General features: G+C 54.3%; 1 protein-coding gene across 7 annotated transcripts in view, besides 1 other annotated feature; it reads right to left on the bottom strand.

Annotated features, from left to right (window-relative positions):
• RAP1GAP2 (RAP1 GTPase activating protein 2) overlaps positions 1-16,064 on the bottom strand; it is a 282,097-nt gene that overhangs the window by 249,323 nt on the left and 16,710 nt on the right. For 2 of the 7 annotated variants that reach the window (NM_001330058.2, NM_001438818.1), the window contains exon 1: positions 11,472-11,661. The exons of 4 other annotated variants lie outside the window; for them this stretch is intronic. The gene's annotated coding sequence lies outside the window, so the exon portion shown is untranslated. Of the gene's footprint in view, positions 1-11,140; positions 11,190-11,471; positions 11,662-16,064 lie in introns of those variants that run through there. One more of the 7 variants, XM_011523741.3, reaches the window with a different exon arrangement.
• Positions 5,853-6,053: a silencer, noted in NCBI's record as "peak2687 fragment used in MPRA reporter construct". NCBI's record gives its function as "represses an SCP1 promoter by STARR-seq MPRAs in K562 erythroleukemia cells {active_cell/tissue: K562}" and the evidence as "EXISTENCE:reporter gene assay evidence [ECO:0000049][PMID:32103011]".

The following is a 16,064-nucleotide window of genomic DNA, read 5'->3' as shown; positions in this document are numbered from 1 at the left end:
GAGGCTGAGGCAGGAGAACTGCTTGAATCAGGGAGGTAGAGGTTGCAGTGAGCTGAGATTGTGCCACTGCACTCCTGCCTGGGCAACAGAGCCAGTCTCTATCTCAAAGCAAACAAACAAAAAAACCCCACAAAATTGCATGAACCAATCCCTCATAATAAATCTAAACACACACACACATACACACACACCCCTATATACATATGTATATATTTCCTATTAGTTCTATTTCTCTGCAAAGCCCTGACTAATACACTCTATCAAAATTGTTTAAGTGCACATACCCTTTATGCCAACAATTTTGTTTTTAGAAATTTATTGCACAGGTTAACTCATACCACTTGACAAGATCTATGTATACAGATGTTAATCATATCATTATAATAGCAAATTCAAAAAATAATCTAAATGATCATCAACTGAGGATTAACTACATTGCAGAATAAGCGTACAATGGAATACTATCTAGCCACTGAAAATAACGAGGTAGCACTTAATATATGTTAATATATGAAGATATGCTAAAAGTTCAAGTTTTAAAAAACAGGCACAGGCTGGGCGCGGTGGCTCATGCCTGTAATCCCAGTACTTTGGGAGGCCGAGGCGGGCAGATCACGAGGTCAGGAGATTGAAACCATCCTGGCCAACATGGTGAAACCCCATCTCTACTGAAAATACAAAAACTTAGCCAGGTGTGGCGGCATGCGCCTGTATTCCCAGCTACTCGGGAGGCTGAGGCAGGAGAATTGCGTGAACCTGGGAGAGGCAGCTTGCAGTGAGCTGAGATGGCGCCACTGCACTCCAGCCTGGGCGACAGAGCAAGACTCCATCTCAAAAAAAACAAAACAAAACAAAAAAACAGGCTCAGCGTGTGGTGACTCACACCTGTCATCCTAGCACTTTGGGAGGCCAAGGCAGGGGGATTGCTTGAGCCCAGGAGTTTGTGACCAGTCCCAGCAACATAGTAAGACCCCATCTGTACAAAAATTTTTTTAAATTAGCCAGGCATGGTGCTGTGCACCTGTATTCCCAGCTACCTAGAAGGCTGATGTGGAAGGATCACTTGAGCCCAGGAGGTTGGGGCTGCAGTAAAGACCACTGCACTCCAGTGTGGCCAAAAAGCAAGACTCTGTCTCGAAAAAAAAAAAGAAAAAAAAAAAAAAACCAAAGCTGGGCATGGTGGCTCACACCTGTAATCCCAGCACTTTGGAGGCCATGGTGGGGTGGATCACTTGAGGTCAGGAGTTCGAGACCAGCCTGGCCAACATGGTAAAACCCTGTCTCTACTAAAAACTACAAAACTAGCCAGGTATGGTGGCATGCGCCTATAACCCCAGCTATTTGGGAGGCTGGGGCAGGAGAATGGCTTGAACCCGGGAAGCGGAGGTTGCAGTGAGCAGAGATCGCGCCCCTGCGCACCAGCCTGGGGACAGAGCGAGACTCCATCTCAAAAAAAAAAAAAAAAAAAAAAAGGCTGGGAGCGATGGCTCACGCCTGTAATCCCAGCAGTTTGGGAAGCCAAGGTGGGTGGATCACTTGAGGTCAGGAGTTTGAGACCAGCCCTGCCAAGATGGTGAAACCCCGTCTCTACTAAACACTACAAAAATTAGCCGGGCATGGTGGCACCTGCCTGTAATCCCAGCTACTCAGGAGACTGGGGCAGGAGAGTCGCTTGAATCCGGGAGGCAGAGGGTGCAGTGAGCCCGAGACCACGCCACTGCACTCCAGCCTGGGCAACAGAGTGAGACTCCATCGCAAAACATTAAAAAAAAAAAAAATTGAAGAAAAAAAAAGAAAAGAAAGGCTTGGACCGTGGGGGCTGTCTGAAGGAGCTTCTCACTAAAGGAGAACACACAGCCAACTCTGCCCACACCCACCCAGCTGGGTCACTCCCGCCCTCCCCTGCTAAGGCGGGGCACCTGGCGCCTCCCAGGACCGGCCAGAAGGTGGGCGTTTGCGCCCTCTGCAGGCAAGCTTGGGTGGTGCGAGGAGGAAAGGGAGCGTCTTCCTGGGCTTGTTTCTAGGATGGCAGCCATGTTGCCCTCTGGCGGAAGGGGTTGAAGGGAGGGGGAAATCCTCCTCCTGCAAAAGATAAGCAACCACCACCTGGTGTCAGAACACACGGATTCCAGCCCCAGTCCTGACATTAAATGTAGCTGTGAGGAAACCACTTAAACTCCCTCTGCCTCAGGTTTTTCATCTGTAAAGAATAACTCCAGGCTGGGCGCGGTGGCTCACGCCTGTAATCCCAGCACTGTGGGAGGCCGAGGCGGACGGATCACCTGAGGTCAGGAGTTCGAGATCAGCCTGGCCAACATGGTGAAACCCCGTCTCTCCTAAAAATACAAAATTAGCCAGGCATGGTGGCACATGCCTGTAATCCCAGCTACGCAGGAGGCTGAGGCAGGAGAATCGCTTGAACCCGGGAGGTGGAGGTTGCGGTGAGCCGAGATCTGACCACTGCACTCCAGCCTGGGCAACAAGAGCAAATCTCTGTCTAAAAAAAAAAAAAAAAAAAAGTCATACTTTTTACTTCCTTTCATCTTTACCATACCACAGTCTCCCTCCTGGTAAGTAACTGGAGCCTCAGAGAGGTTAAGAGACTCGTCCAAGGTCACAGTGTAGCAGGACGAGCCACAGACAAAACTCCTCAGACACCGGATTAAAGAAGGAAGAGGTTTTTATTCGGCCGGGAGCATCGGCAGACTCGCGTCTTAAGAACCGAGCTTCCCGAAAAAGAAATTCTTGGCCTTTTTAAAGGCTTACAACTTAAAGGGGTCCACGTGAAAAGGTCGTGATACATCAAGCAAGCGTGGGAAATGTGACTGGGAGCTACATGCATCAGCTAACAGAACAAAAAGTTTCACAATGCTTTTTTCATACAGTGTCTGGAATTTACAGATAACAAAAGTAGTTTAGGTCAGGGGTTGATGTTATAATTATCACTTTTTTTAACTCCTAGGGCCGGGTGGTGGTGCCAAGGTTGTCTGGCTATTTATCTTACTTTTTTTTTTTTTCCAACTTTTTGCTTTTTCTCTCCTCCTATCTTGTGAACTAGGCAAGGTGGGGGCAGGAGGGCAGCAGGAGGAGCAGTGGTCTCCTTCCTTAACAGGGCTGGAAGGTGACAGAATTCAAACCCAGAGTCCCCCTTTGAGCCCTTCTGCCATTCCTTCAGGGAAGGCTCAGAGGAGAGCAGGCCCTAAATGAGGGCTGCGTTAGATGGGAGACACTGCCAGGCTGGGCTCGTGCAAACCCCCAGATTCTTCCTGGGCCCCCTGCCAACGCTCTGCTCAGGAGCAGCCCTAACCTGGGCCACAAGGAGCAAACCCTGAGATTCCTCCCTGAGGCCAGCAAGCGAGGCAGGGGGATGATGCCGCAGGGGGATGATGCCGCAGGCAGATGAACAGTGACTCAGGTGGAAGCAGGCGGCAGGGACAGGGAGAAGCGGAGAGCTCCCTCAGCTCAAACACAGCATGTTCAGGCCTCACCATCTTGATTTTTCCTGGATAAAGATGGGGGTCTGGTGGGGTTCATCCCAGCCCCAAGCCCAGAGCAATTCTGCCTGAGCCCCACCCTCATGGTATCTCCATCAGCAACATGTGTCCCAGGCCCCTTGAAGGGAGCAGGGCTGACCTGTAATGAGATAATAAACTGGGACAGAAAAGGCCTTTCCCATTCAAGTTCCCCCTTCTCTCATTACGGGCCCCACCCTCAGCAGGGCTCTGCACAGTAAGATGCCTCCTGGACTACATGAGAGTAGGCGGGGATCTGGGGACAGACCCAAGCCTCACCTGTGGCCAGGGGATCAGTGAGCAAAAGTGTAGCTGCTGCTAAAAGAATAAACTGCTGGCCGGGCGCGGTGGCTCACGCCTGTAATCCCAGCACTTTGGGATGCCGAGTCGGGCGGATCACTTGAGGTCAGGAGTTCAAGACCAGCCTGGCTAACATGGCAAGACCCTGTCTCTACTAAAAATACAAAAATTAGCCAGGTGTCATGGCAGGCACCTGTAGTCCCAGCTATTTGGGAGGCTGAGGCAGGAGAATCGCTTGAGTCCGGGAGATGGAGGTCGCAGTGAGCCGAGATCACGCCACTGTACTCCAGCCTGGGCGACAGAGCGAGACTCTGTCTCTAAATAAATAAAAATAGGCCAGGCGTGGTGGCTCACGCCTGTAATCCCAGCACTTTGGGAGGCCGAGGAGGACAGATCACAAGGTCAGGAATTCGAGACCATCCTGGCTAACACAGTGAAACCCTCGTCTCTACTAAAAATACAAAAAATTAGCCTGGCGTGGTGGCATGGACCTGTAGTCTCAGCTACTTGGGAGGCTGAGACAAGAGAATCACTTAAACCCGGGAGGTAGAGGTTGCAGTGAGCCGAGATTGCGCCACTGCATTCCACCCTGGGCAACAGAGCAAGACTCCATCTCAATAAATAAACAAATAAAATAAAAAGTGAAATAGCTTCCACCTGGCTCTCTTTCTGGGCATGCTTGTCCCTTAGCTCAGCCACCATGCTGGGAGGAAGCCCAATCTAGCATGTGGAGACAGCACATAGAGAGGCCCATGTGCAGAGGAACTGACCCAAAGCCAACAGCCAGCAAGAAACGCCAGACGTGTGAGCGACTAAGCCTTCAGATGGCTTCAGCCCCTAGACCTTGAAACACTCCAGACAATGCTGAGTGGAGAAGCGTTATCCCCACTGAACCCTGCCCATGTTGCAGATTCATGGGCAAAATCAGTGTCACCAGTGTTTTAAGCCATAAGCTTTGGGTGGTTTATTAAGCAGCATTAGATAACCAGAACACTGGCAGGACCAGAATTTGAACCAAGCAAGCTGGCTCCAGAGCCTGTGCTCCTGCCACTCTGCAACAGTCCCTGTTGTGTAAGAGACAGTATATAGGAGGGATTTCAAGCTTAGGTCTGGAGTCAGTCCTCTCTTCATTCATTAATTCATTCATTCATCAAATGTTTATTGCATCCCTACTGTGTTCCAAGCTGTCTTCCAGTTCTAAGAATATTTTAGTAAGCAAGACAGACAGGTCCCTGCTCTAGGTGGGGAAGAGGGGGTTAGGAAGTAGAGGATAAATGAGGGCTACCTTTATGCAGGTATTTACAATAGGGTGATCCGATCCAAATGGGACCAGATGGCTAGGGAGTCCTGTGTAGAGGGGGTGATCTGGGATGGCCTCTCTGAGAGGGAGACTGCCAAGACGAGACGGACACAGCTTCACAGCTTTGTGAAGAGCGGAGGGAACAGCAGAAGAACGGGTCTGGGTTCAGAACCCGGCTCCATCACTTACTAGCTGTGTGACCTTGTGGAAGTAACCCAGGCTCTCTGAGCCTCTACTTCCTCATAAAATGGGAAAACTTCCTCATAAAATGGGGATGGTTTGTTTGTTTTGAGACGGAGTCTTACTCTGTCACCCAGGCTGGAGTGCAGGGGCACGATCTGGGCTCACTGCAGCCTCCACCTCCCAGGTTCAAGAGATTCTCCTGCCTCAGCCTCCAAAGTAGCTGGGATTACAGGTGCTCACCACCACACCCGGGTAATTTTTTGTATTTTTAGTAGAGACGGGGTTTCACCATGTTGGCCAGGCTGGTCACGAACTCCTGACCTCAGATGATCCACTCACCTTGGCCTCCCAGAGTGCTGGGATTACAGGCATGGGCCACCGCGCCTGGCCAGGGATGTTTTCGAACCCACCTAATAGGACCTACTATCCCCTGGGATGGGATTGTTCTGAGGAGTAAATGAGCTGATTACATGTACAGTGTGTAGTCCAGGGCCTGGTGCAGGAAGAGCTCCATTAGTACCAGTGATTATGGTGAGATAAATTATGCTAAGGCCAAGGCCCCCATTGGATGCCCGGAGCCCCAGAGACCACTCTGCTCCCCATCAGAAACTGTGCCAACCAAGGCTACTGGGGAAGAGTATGAAGGTAAGGGAGCCTCATCACAGCTGCACTGGTGCCCAAGCCACTGAGGGCGGGTCAGGTGGAGGGGGGCAAGAGCACACACTTCCCTACAGCATGCTGACACACAGGCCACTTCTGCCCACCCCCTGCAGCCATCCCTGACTCATCTCCTCAACTCAGAGCTTGAGCCCATCACCCTCAGCTCAGAGCTCGGGAGGATGGGGCTGGAGGCTGGACTTGCCGTCCCTCTTCAGGCCCTGCCCAGAAGGCAGTGGACGCCCACACAGCCAGAGGGGGAGAAGCAACTTCCTCAGACAGAGGGAGAAACAGGATAAGGAAGCCTGGAGAGAGGGCGGGATGGGGCATGGCAGAAGACTCAAGGGAGCCTCCGTGGGGGCAGGAAATCCTGCAGGGAAAAAGTATCACCTGCCATCCAGATGGGCACACTCTTGAGAACCCTGGAGACACCCAGTAGGTGGCTGGCACACATATCCAGAGAAAGTACCCATGAACAACCCAGAGCACACAACAGTGCACACACAGAGACATGCACACACAGAGACCTGCCCACACAGAGACGTGCCCACACAGAGACCTGCACACACAGAGACGTGCACACACAGAGACGTGCACACACAGAGACCTGCCCACACAGAGACGTGCCCACACAGAGACCTGCACACACAGAGACGTGCACACACAGACGTGCACACACAGAAACGTGCACACACAGACGTGCACACACAGAGACGTACTCACACAGAGACGTGCACACACAGAGACGTGCTCACACAGAGACGTGCACACACAGAGACCTGCACACACAGAGACGTGCCCACACAGAGACCTGCACACACAGAGACGTGCTCACACAGAGACGTGCTCACACAGAGACCTGCACACACAGAGACGTGCCCACACAGAGACCTGCACACACAGAGACGTGCACACACAGAGACGTGCTCACACAGAGACGTGCTCACACGGTGCACACACAGGGGTGTGCTCAGAAGAACCACATATAACCACCCAGAGATGTCCAGACACAGCAATCCAGCAACAAGCCCTCCAAGGCCACACGTGCACACCAAGCACAGATGTGTCCACATGCACAGGCACACCTCAGTGTTCCCGACTGCCTGTCACTCCCTGTCTCTCCCCTCCTGCTCTTGCTCTCCACCAGCCATCTAATCGGCAGGGCCCTGACTGTGCCAGAGTCCCCCAAGTGCCCATGCCTGCTGCCATCTGCTTGCTGACCCAGACCTGGCAGAGCGCAGCCAGCAGGCCCAGCATGGTCCAAGAAGGAGGCCAGTAATCCTGGATCTGAACTAGGGAAAGGAGTGGGAACCAGCTGGCCCTGAGAGCAAGCTGCAAAAGTCCAGAACCAGAGCGTGGCCGGGGCCAGGGGCTCGGCACAGCCTTGTATCGTTGGCATCACACCTGCCTTGGGTGCCCCTGCGACTGCTCCAGATCATGAGCAGGTAGACAGGAATGCCCTTAGAACCATCTGGAATCCCTGAAGGGTTGCAACAAATAGAAAATCAGAAACACAAAACACACCCAAAAACAGTACAGCATGTCAGGCTGAGATCAGACATGAGGCAGAACTTCCTACTGGACAGGCACCAAAGCACTGAGAGAGGTGTGGACAAGAAGAGTATCATCCATGAGATGCCCGCTTTAAAAGGGGAGCAGATGAATAGGCTAGTATCATTGCTTTATTTTTCATTAAACTTATTAAAAACAAATTGCAGAGATCGGAGTAGACTTTAAATGGCTGTAATGAAGACGGCGGCTGCTGGGTCTCCCAGCATAGGCTGGGTGTGACCCTGCCTGCAGGCAGAGGGATGAACGCAGTGACCTTTGTAAGGCCAGCCTGAGCTGGCCATGTGTGAGCAAAGAGGCAGCTGGACACCTTCCCCACTCTGTGACCTCTCCTGGGGGGGGTGCACATTGCTCAGAGATGGGAGAGGGTAGGCAGACAAGGCCCACCATGCCACCATGGCAACAGGCCTTGGCAAAGGCACCTGTGGACCTTCTCCAATCGCCGCTCATAACAGGAACTGTTTGCAAACAACTCCTCCCCTGTCAAACGGGGCGGTGGCCTGGGAGGGGCAGGTGGACACCGTGGAAAAAAGGATGAAGAGACTTTTGCCAGAGGCGGCGGCTCCCGCCTGTCACCCCAGCACTTTGGGAGGCCAGGGCGGGCGGATCACCTGAGGTCAGGAGTTCGAGACCAGCCTGACCAACATGGAGAAACCCTGTCCCTACTGAAAATACAAAAATTAGTAGGACGTGGTGGCGCACGCCTGTAATCCCAGCAACTCGGGAGGCTGAGACAGGAGAATCACTTGAACCCAGGAGGCGGAGGTTGCGGTGAGCCGAGATCGCGCCACTGCACTCCAGCCTGGACAACAAGAGCGAAACTCCATCTCAAAAAAAAGGAACGAGGAGGCTTGTGGATGCTGTACCACGAACTACGAACACTGCCCCAGTTTACGCCCTAGGAAGGCCCAGCTAGACCTCACCCAATGCCCTCCCTTCCTTCCTGCCACCTCATCCCCCTCCCATTTGGTTACCACCACCCCAGACGCTGTGAATCCCCATACGCCAAGGCTGCCCAACCCACTCCCTGTCCCTGTCTCTTCCATGCTTCTTGGCCACCTTCTGCCAACCCGCTCACCTTCCTTTCCTGCCCCCCCCCAGCCCCCTGCCTTGTCCTCCCCCACTGACTATGGCCCAGACCCATGCCCATGACCGTATGCCAGCTCCCAATGCCAGAAATGCCAGCATCCACCCTCCCTCCACTCCTCCTTCAAGCACCTGCTTCTGAGCTGTCCTCTCCCCTCGCCCTCCTCTGCCCAGTGCTGGCCTCTGTGTCCTCCTGAGGCAGAGCCCAGGAAGAGGTATATCTGAGCGGCCAGCCCAGGAGCAGGACATCGCTGACTCCAATTCATAGGCTGTGAAATGGAAGCATTCAGGAGGTCTGGGAAACTGGGCCACAGCCCTAGAGGAACTGACCAGGTCAGCAGTCTGGCCCCTGAGCCCCAGGTCCTATGACCGGGAGGGGTCTTTAGAGGTCCTCTTATGCGGACCCACCTCCACTTGAGTGAATGACTATCTGAGCCACCCTGGGCATGTGGTCTTCCTGGCCACACAGAAATACCCCGGGTGAAGCCCTTGCTATGGGGCCATCACCATGTTCAAAAATTCAATAAATGCCTTATTAACACTTAAAACACCCAGCTAAGGAAACCGAGGCTCAGAGAAGTCAGGTAATTTGGCCAAGGTCACGCAGTGTTAGGCACCTCAGTGTGCTGCTTCCAGCCCTCTTGGCCCCACCTCTCACTCCAAACACTTCTGCAATGACCAGGTCCCCACAGGCTCCAAGCAGCATCTTACAGGTGCAATGGGACAGTGCTTCATGTCAGGCCACGCTGGGCCTTCTTGGAAGCTGCCGTGTGGAGTACCCACAGGGAACCACTTGAGCCCCACACATGTGCAATCTGGAAGTCCACACGGGAGCGAATGTCCACAGAGCCACCCTTGTCTGGCAGGGGATGGGGCTAATGGGTAAGTGCTTCCCTGTTTCTCTCCCCAACAGAGCAGTTCTGTCTGTAAGGCTCCTCAGAACACCGCCCAGGAGAGTGGTGGGAATAATCAAATTGTTGCTTCCCCTCCCTCTCCTTCAAACCCCATGTCCTCGCCCTTGTTTCCTGAGATTGCTTCCCAAATAAGCCACAGCCTGCAAGCCTTTCTCTCGGGCTCCCATTGAGGGGAATGCAGGTGCGGCCACAGCAGTAGGTGATGGAGCTGGGACTTACGCCCAGGTCTGAGTGACAGCAGGGCCTTCATGCTTAGCCACTATGTGACCCTGCCACCACCCCCATCCATGCCAGGGTCCCTTTCCCTCAAGGCTCAAGTCATTCTGAGCCATGGTGGCTCAGCCAGAGTTGATCAGACAGGGTCATGGGAAAGAGGGTGAGGAGAGCTGCAAGCGTGCCTCCAGCAGCAGGGTCCTCTTCTCTGGAGCTGAGGCCACCTCCCACCAAATTGCCTCAACATGCTGAGCTGAGCAGTCCCACTTAGACCAGCCCCGACCCTACCCAAGCTTAGCATCTGTCTCTGCCCAGTAACATCAAACACAGGAACCAAGAGAGGCTGCTGTAGCACTTCAGCTCCCGCCCCCGCATCCCACCCAGCTACCAGGCCCCCCAGCCCCATCCCTCTCCAACTACTTGATATCTGGGAAGAAGGAGGGACCAGAGGCAGCTTCTTGAAGCCTGAGCAGCCAAATCCAACAGATGCCCACCCCACCCCACCCCAGGACTCAGAAAACCCAGCACCACAGCTTGGAGCTGAGGGCAGAGCCTCCCCCAACTCCTGCCCAAGTCGAGAAGATGTGCTGGGACTTTCGCCTGAAAAATCGCTGCCCAAGACCTCACAGACCCTGAGTCACTCCCCGCCTCCCAGCCTCCCAGCCTCCCCGCCTCCCAGCCTCCCAGCCTCCCCGCCTCCCAGCCTCCCAGCCTCCCCGCCTCCCAGCCTCCCAGCCTCCTGGCAGCTGTGCAAGCTGTTTACTCCCCACCCTGCAACAGGAAGAAGGGGGAGGGCAAAGCGCCATGGGAAACTGAGGCGTATAGGGCTTGAGGGATGGCCCCAGGGTCACAACGCAGGCAAAGAACCCAAGAGCCCTGGCACCTGGCTCAGGACAACTCTCTCATTCCCCATGGAGGCTTCTCTGATGACAGCCCCTCAACAGGGCACATCCCAGCAAACCCCACTGGCATACAAGTGCCCTTCAGGTTTGTTAACAAGCATGTAGGGGGAGCTATAGAAAACAAATGAGAGGAAGCAAGGGTATCCCTCAGCCAGCTCCCAGGTCCAGACACACAGCACCTGGTGCTGGCAAAGCCAGAGGACAGTCTACACGGACCCCTGAGGTCTCCTGAACACACGCCTGCCCTGGACCCCCCACTCAGGGCCGGCACCCCCACACCCATCCAGGCCTCTGGAAATGAGGATCAGGCTGAAATCGGGCCCCGCTCCCAAAGATCCCTCAAGGCCTCTCAGCCGGCAGCCCACCTCCCTAGCTCCTCTTCCTGCAATAGGCACAGGCTGGAGCGAGGATGGGATGGGGGGTTTCAGGAAGCCCAGCCTAGCTCCAGGGTCCTCCTGGGGTTCCTGGCTGTTTTCCTTCTACCACCACCTGTAAACACCCTACCTCTGACCTCCATCCCGGTCAGCTTCTCTCGCCAGATCCTGACAGGGGCTGCACACCTCACGCACGCACACACACCCTATAGGTGGACGTGTGTGCAGCGCCCCGCCCGCGGGGGTTTCTGAGGACGGTCACCCCACCTCCCCAGCACAGCCTGTGACGCCGGATGGCTCCTCCGGAACGCAGTACCGGCTCGCGCCGTCCATACGTGCCGATGTCTGTCTGCAAACACACGCGTTCACACTCCACACACGCTCCGATTCCCCGTCAGTCACACCAGGACTCACGTCCCGATCCAGGCTGGCTGCGGAATCCCAGCCCCGGGGCCACTGACCTTCTGCGCCGCCTGGCGCGCGGCTGCCTCTGGACCCGGAGCGAAGGGCACCTCAGTCCCCGCGGTCGCCCCCTCCCTCGGCCCAGCCCCCTCCTCCTCCTCCTCCTCCTCCTCCTCCTCCTCCGGGGCGGCGGGGTCCCTCGCAGCAGTCCTGCCGCGCACGCGCGCACCCCGGCCGGCCCCAGCGCACAAAGCCGCGCCCTCCGCAGCCGCCACCGCCCGCACACCTGGCGCCCCTCGCCGCCGCCGCCGCGCACGCGCAGCCGGAGCCCGCGCCGATCCAGGGTCCGGGGTCCTCGTGCTCCCGCCCTCGCCGCGCCTCCGCCACCCGGGGCGCGCCCTGGTCCCTGTGCCGCTGCCTGCGGATCGCCTGGCGCAGCCGCGGAGAGGGGGCGGAGGGGCGGGCACCGGGAGGCGGTGGCAGGGGGTACAGCGGGTCCTGAGCTCCCTGGGGGCTGCCCAAGGCGGCTCCTCCGGAACAAAGGCGCGGGGCGGGGCAGGTGCACCCAGAGGACCCGGGGAGAGAAGGAGCAGCCTGCCCGCCAGGGGTTCCTGGAAGATGCAATGGGGGCAATGGGGGCAATGGGGAACCGAGGTGCGGTGAGGCCTGGGGGCTCCTGATCTACTGAGGAAGATACTCTGGGGCTCCCTCTAGCTCTGCGTTGCGCGGGACCCGGGACGGGGTACAGAACGCTATGCTGCGAGTCTCCAGGGCTGCTCAGACCCCTGAAACTCCCCGCTGCCTGGGATCTGGAGGCTGGACTTTTATGAGACAGAGTCTTGCTCTGTCCCCCAGGCTGGAGTGCAGTGGCGCGATCTCGGCTCACTGCAACCTCCGCCTCCCGGGTTCAAGCGATTCTTGTGCCTCAGCCTGCCGAGTAGCTGGGATTACAGGCACCCGCCACCATACCCGGCTACTTTTTGTATTTTTAGTAGAGACGGGGTTTCGCCATGTTGGCCAGGCTGGTCTCAAACTCCTGGCCTTAGGTGATCCACCCGCCTCGGCCTCCCAAAGTGCTGAGATGACAGGCATGAGCCACCGCGCTCGGCCTGGAACTTTCATTCATGCACTCCATAGACATCCCCCCAGCTTCCGCCAAACCAAGGATGCTCCTGAACGTGAAGGCGTAGAAGGAACGAAGGGTCCTCTAGCCAACCTTTGGGATGCTTGAGTCTCATCCTCAGTAACCTCCGTGGACAGCGGCCTTTGACTATGGCTTAGTGATGGGAAGTTCTCTCCCTCGGGGCAGCCCACTCCATCCTCAGGCAGCTCTAAGTGCTAGAAAGCCGTTCCTTTAATTGCACAGAAGTTTTCGCTTCTGTCTGTGGGTCATGGCCTCCTGACCCTGTGGATCATGACTCTGCTCTAGCTACAATGGCCTTCTGCTTCTAGAACAGCCTTGCACTTGCTGCTCCCCCTGCAGAAGGACTCTTCCACCCCATGCCCCGTGCCCCCTCCCCACCACCCACTTAACACCTCTCACCAGCAGCTTCTTTATGTGGTCGCCCCTGTGCCCTTCAGGACTCAGCTCACATGTCACTTTCTTGGAGAGGACTTCCACCTCTTCCAGAGTCCCCACACACCCACTGGCTGCTCATGATCTCGATGCCCTGTGTGAGTTTCTTCAGCACGCTGGTCATATTGGGAAATTCTCTTGTCTCTGCGTTTACATGTTTATCGTCTGTCTCTCCCACTAGAATGTGTGGCCCATGGAGGCAGTACCCTGGTCTTCCTTGAGGGCCTGACCCAGAGCAGGATCACAATGGATAGTTGTGGGAGAAAGAAAGGATAGCAGGGAGGCTGGGCAGGGTGGCTGGCCGGGCGCGGTGCCTCACACCTGTAATCCTAGCGCTTTGGGAGGCTGAGGCGGGTGGATCATTTAAGGTCAGGAGTTCAAGGCCAACCTGGTCAACATGGTGAAACCACTGTCTCTACTAAAAATACAAAAAAAAAAAAAATTTAGCAGGGCATATTGGCGCATGCCTGTAATCCCAGCTACTCAGGAGGCTGAAGCAGGAGAATTGCTTGAATCTGGGAGGCGGAGGTTGCAGTGAGCTGAGATCGCATCACTGCACTCCAGCCTGGGCAACAGACCAAAACTCCATCTTGGGGAAAAAAAAAAAAAAAAAAGGATAGCAGGGAGGCCAGGTATGGTGGCTGGCTGGGCGTGGTGGCTGGCTGGGCATGGTAGCTCACACCTATAATCCCAGCACTTTGGGAGGCCAAGGTGGGTGGATCACCTGAGGTCAGGAATTCGAGACCAGCCTGCCAACATGGTGACCCCTATCTCTACTAAAAATACAAAAATTAGCCAGGCATGGTGGGGGAGTGCCTGTCGTCCCAGCTACTCAGGAGGCTGAGACAGAAGAATCGCTTGAACCGGGAGTCGGACATTGCAGATCGCACTACTGCACTCCAGCCTGGGTGACAGAGCGAGACTCCATCTCAAAAAAAAAAAAAAAAAAACGATAGCAGGGGTGACCAGCCCATAGTCCCATAGTCCTATCAGCAGCCCGTTCCATCACCCAGAAATACAACTGCTCAGCTGTTCAAGGGGGACACCTGGCACAATGTCTGGCAGAGGAACGGCATTCAATCCATGCCCACCAAATAAATGAACAAGCAAAGGAACATTCCTCATAGAGCCTTGGCCTCAGAACAGCAGGACCTTCTCTTCCCTCACTCTGGACTCTGCCCTGAGCTCTTGCAGCCTCAAAATGTAAGCGTTTTCTTTGGTAGACACCTAACACATGGGGCCATACCCAAGCTTCTACTCCATGGGAACCCTTCAGACAATTCTGATTCCTTCACCCTGCTGCCCAGGTGCAAACAGGATTAGAAACCAAAATACATTTATCCTTTACCCCTGTTAAATTGTGTCTACTACCTGGCCAGGCACGATGGCTCATGCCTGTAATCCCAGCACTTTGGGAGGCCGAGGCAGGCAGATCACCTGAGGGCAGGAGTTTGAGACCAGCCTGGCCAACATGGTGAAACCCCTTCTCTACTAAAAATACAAAACTTAGTTGGGCATCGTGGCGGGCACCTGTAATCCCAGCTACTCGGGAGGCTGAGGCAGGAGAATTGCTTAAACCCGGGAGGCGGAGGTTGCAGTGAGCTGAGATGGCACCATTGCACTCCAGCCTGGGCGACAAGAGTGAAACTGTCTCAAAAAAGAATAAATAAATAAATAAATAAATAAATAAATAAATAAATAAATAGTGTCTACTGTGAGCATCCTTGCTAAAATGAACGAATGAATGAATGAATAGTATCTACTGGACTTGGACCTGGAATTCAGCTTCCAGGGCACTTTGGGTCCCAATTCTGCCATCTTGCTTGCTGGAATGGTACCCAGGTTCCTGCCATCAGCAATGTCGCCAGCACACTGGTCACACCTTCCCTCATCAAACCACCTTTAAACACACTGAATAGAACTCAGCTGATGGCAGTCCACTCACCAACCTCCTTAGCTGTCCCATCCCCCTGCCCATGTGGCTCTGTGTCATCTGCAAGGACCTGACCACAAGAAGAAAGAACAATTGCTTGCTGAAACTCAGAAGCAGTCTCCTGCTCCACCCCCGGTCTAATTTTGAGTCTAGAAAACTAATCAGAAAAGCAAAAAGCTTCCCCTAGTAGGGTGAGTTCTTAGGGAACCTACTCACCGATGCGGATCGTCCACGTCTTCCTTGTCTAAGTGCCCACACACCTCCTCTTTAATAACTGCTGACTCTGGAACTTGACTAGGACTGATGCTAAGTCCACCCATCTATAGTTTGCGGACACCACCTTCTTGCTCTTTGTAAAGAGGCTGGGCACAGTGGCTCACGCCTGTAATCCCAGCACTCTGGGAGGAGTTCGAGGAGTTCGAGACCAGCCTAGCCAACATAGTGAAACCCTGTATCTACTAAAAATACAAAATTAGCCAGGTGTGGTGACGCATGCCTGTAATCCCAGCTACTAGGGAGGCTGAGGCAGGAGAATCATTTGAACCCAGGAAACGGAGGTTGCAGTGAGCTGAGATTGTGCCATTGCACTCCAGCCTGGGCAACAAGAGCAAAACTCCGTCTCAAAAAAAAAAAAAAAAAAAAGAAAGAAAGAAAAAGAAAAAGAAATTACGCCCCTTTTCCCCCACTTCAAGTATAAACCTTATTCTCTGAGAGGCAGTGTGCATAGTAGTTGGGAGCACTGCCACTTACTAGCTGTAACTTAACCTCTGTGCCTCAGTTTCCTCATCTGAAAAACAAGGACAACAATAGTACCTAGATCATAGCATTGCTATGAAGATTAAATCAATTTATTCCTGCAAAGCATTTGCATGACACATAACGGGAACTAAAAAAATAACTATTGGCTGGGCACAGTGGCTCACGTCTGTCATCTCAGCACCTTGGGAGGCAGAGGCAGGAGAATGGCTTGAACCTAGGAGTTGACCAGCCTGGGCACAATAGGGAGACCCCATCTCTATAAAAATAAGAATAAAATGAAATAAATTAGCCATGCAAGGTGGTGCATGCCTATAGTCCCAGCTACTCAGGAGGCTGAACAGGATTCCTTGAGCCCAAAAGTTTGAGGCTGTAGTAAGCCATGAT

This window comes from Homo sapiens, chromosome 17 (assembly GCF_000001405.40).
Source record: "Homo sapiens chromosome 17, GRCh38.p14 Primary Assembly".
Classification (NCBI taxonomy): Eukaryota; Metazoa; Chordata; class Mammalia; order Primates; family Hominidae; genus Homo; species Homo sapiens.
This window is presented reverse-complemented; position numbering and strand designations above follow the sequence as displayed.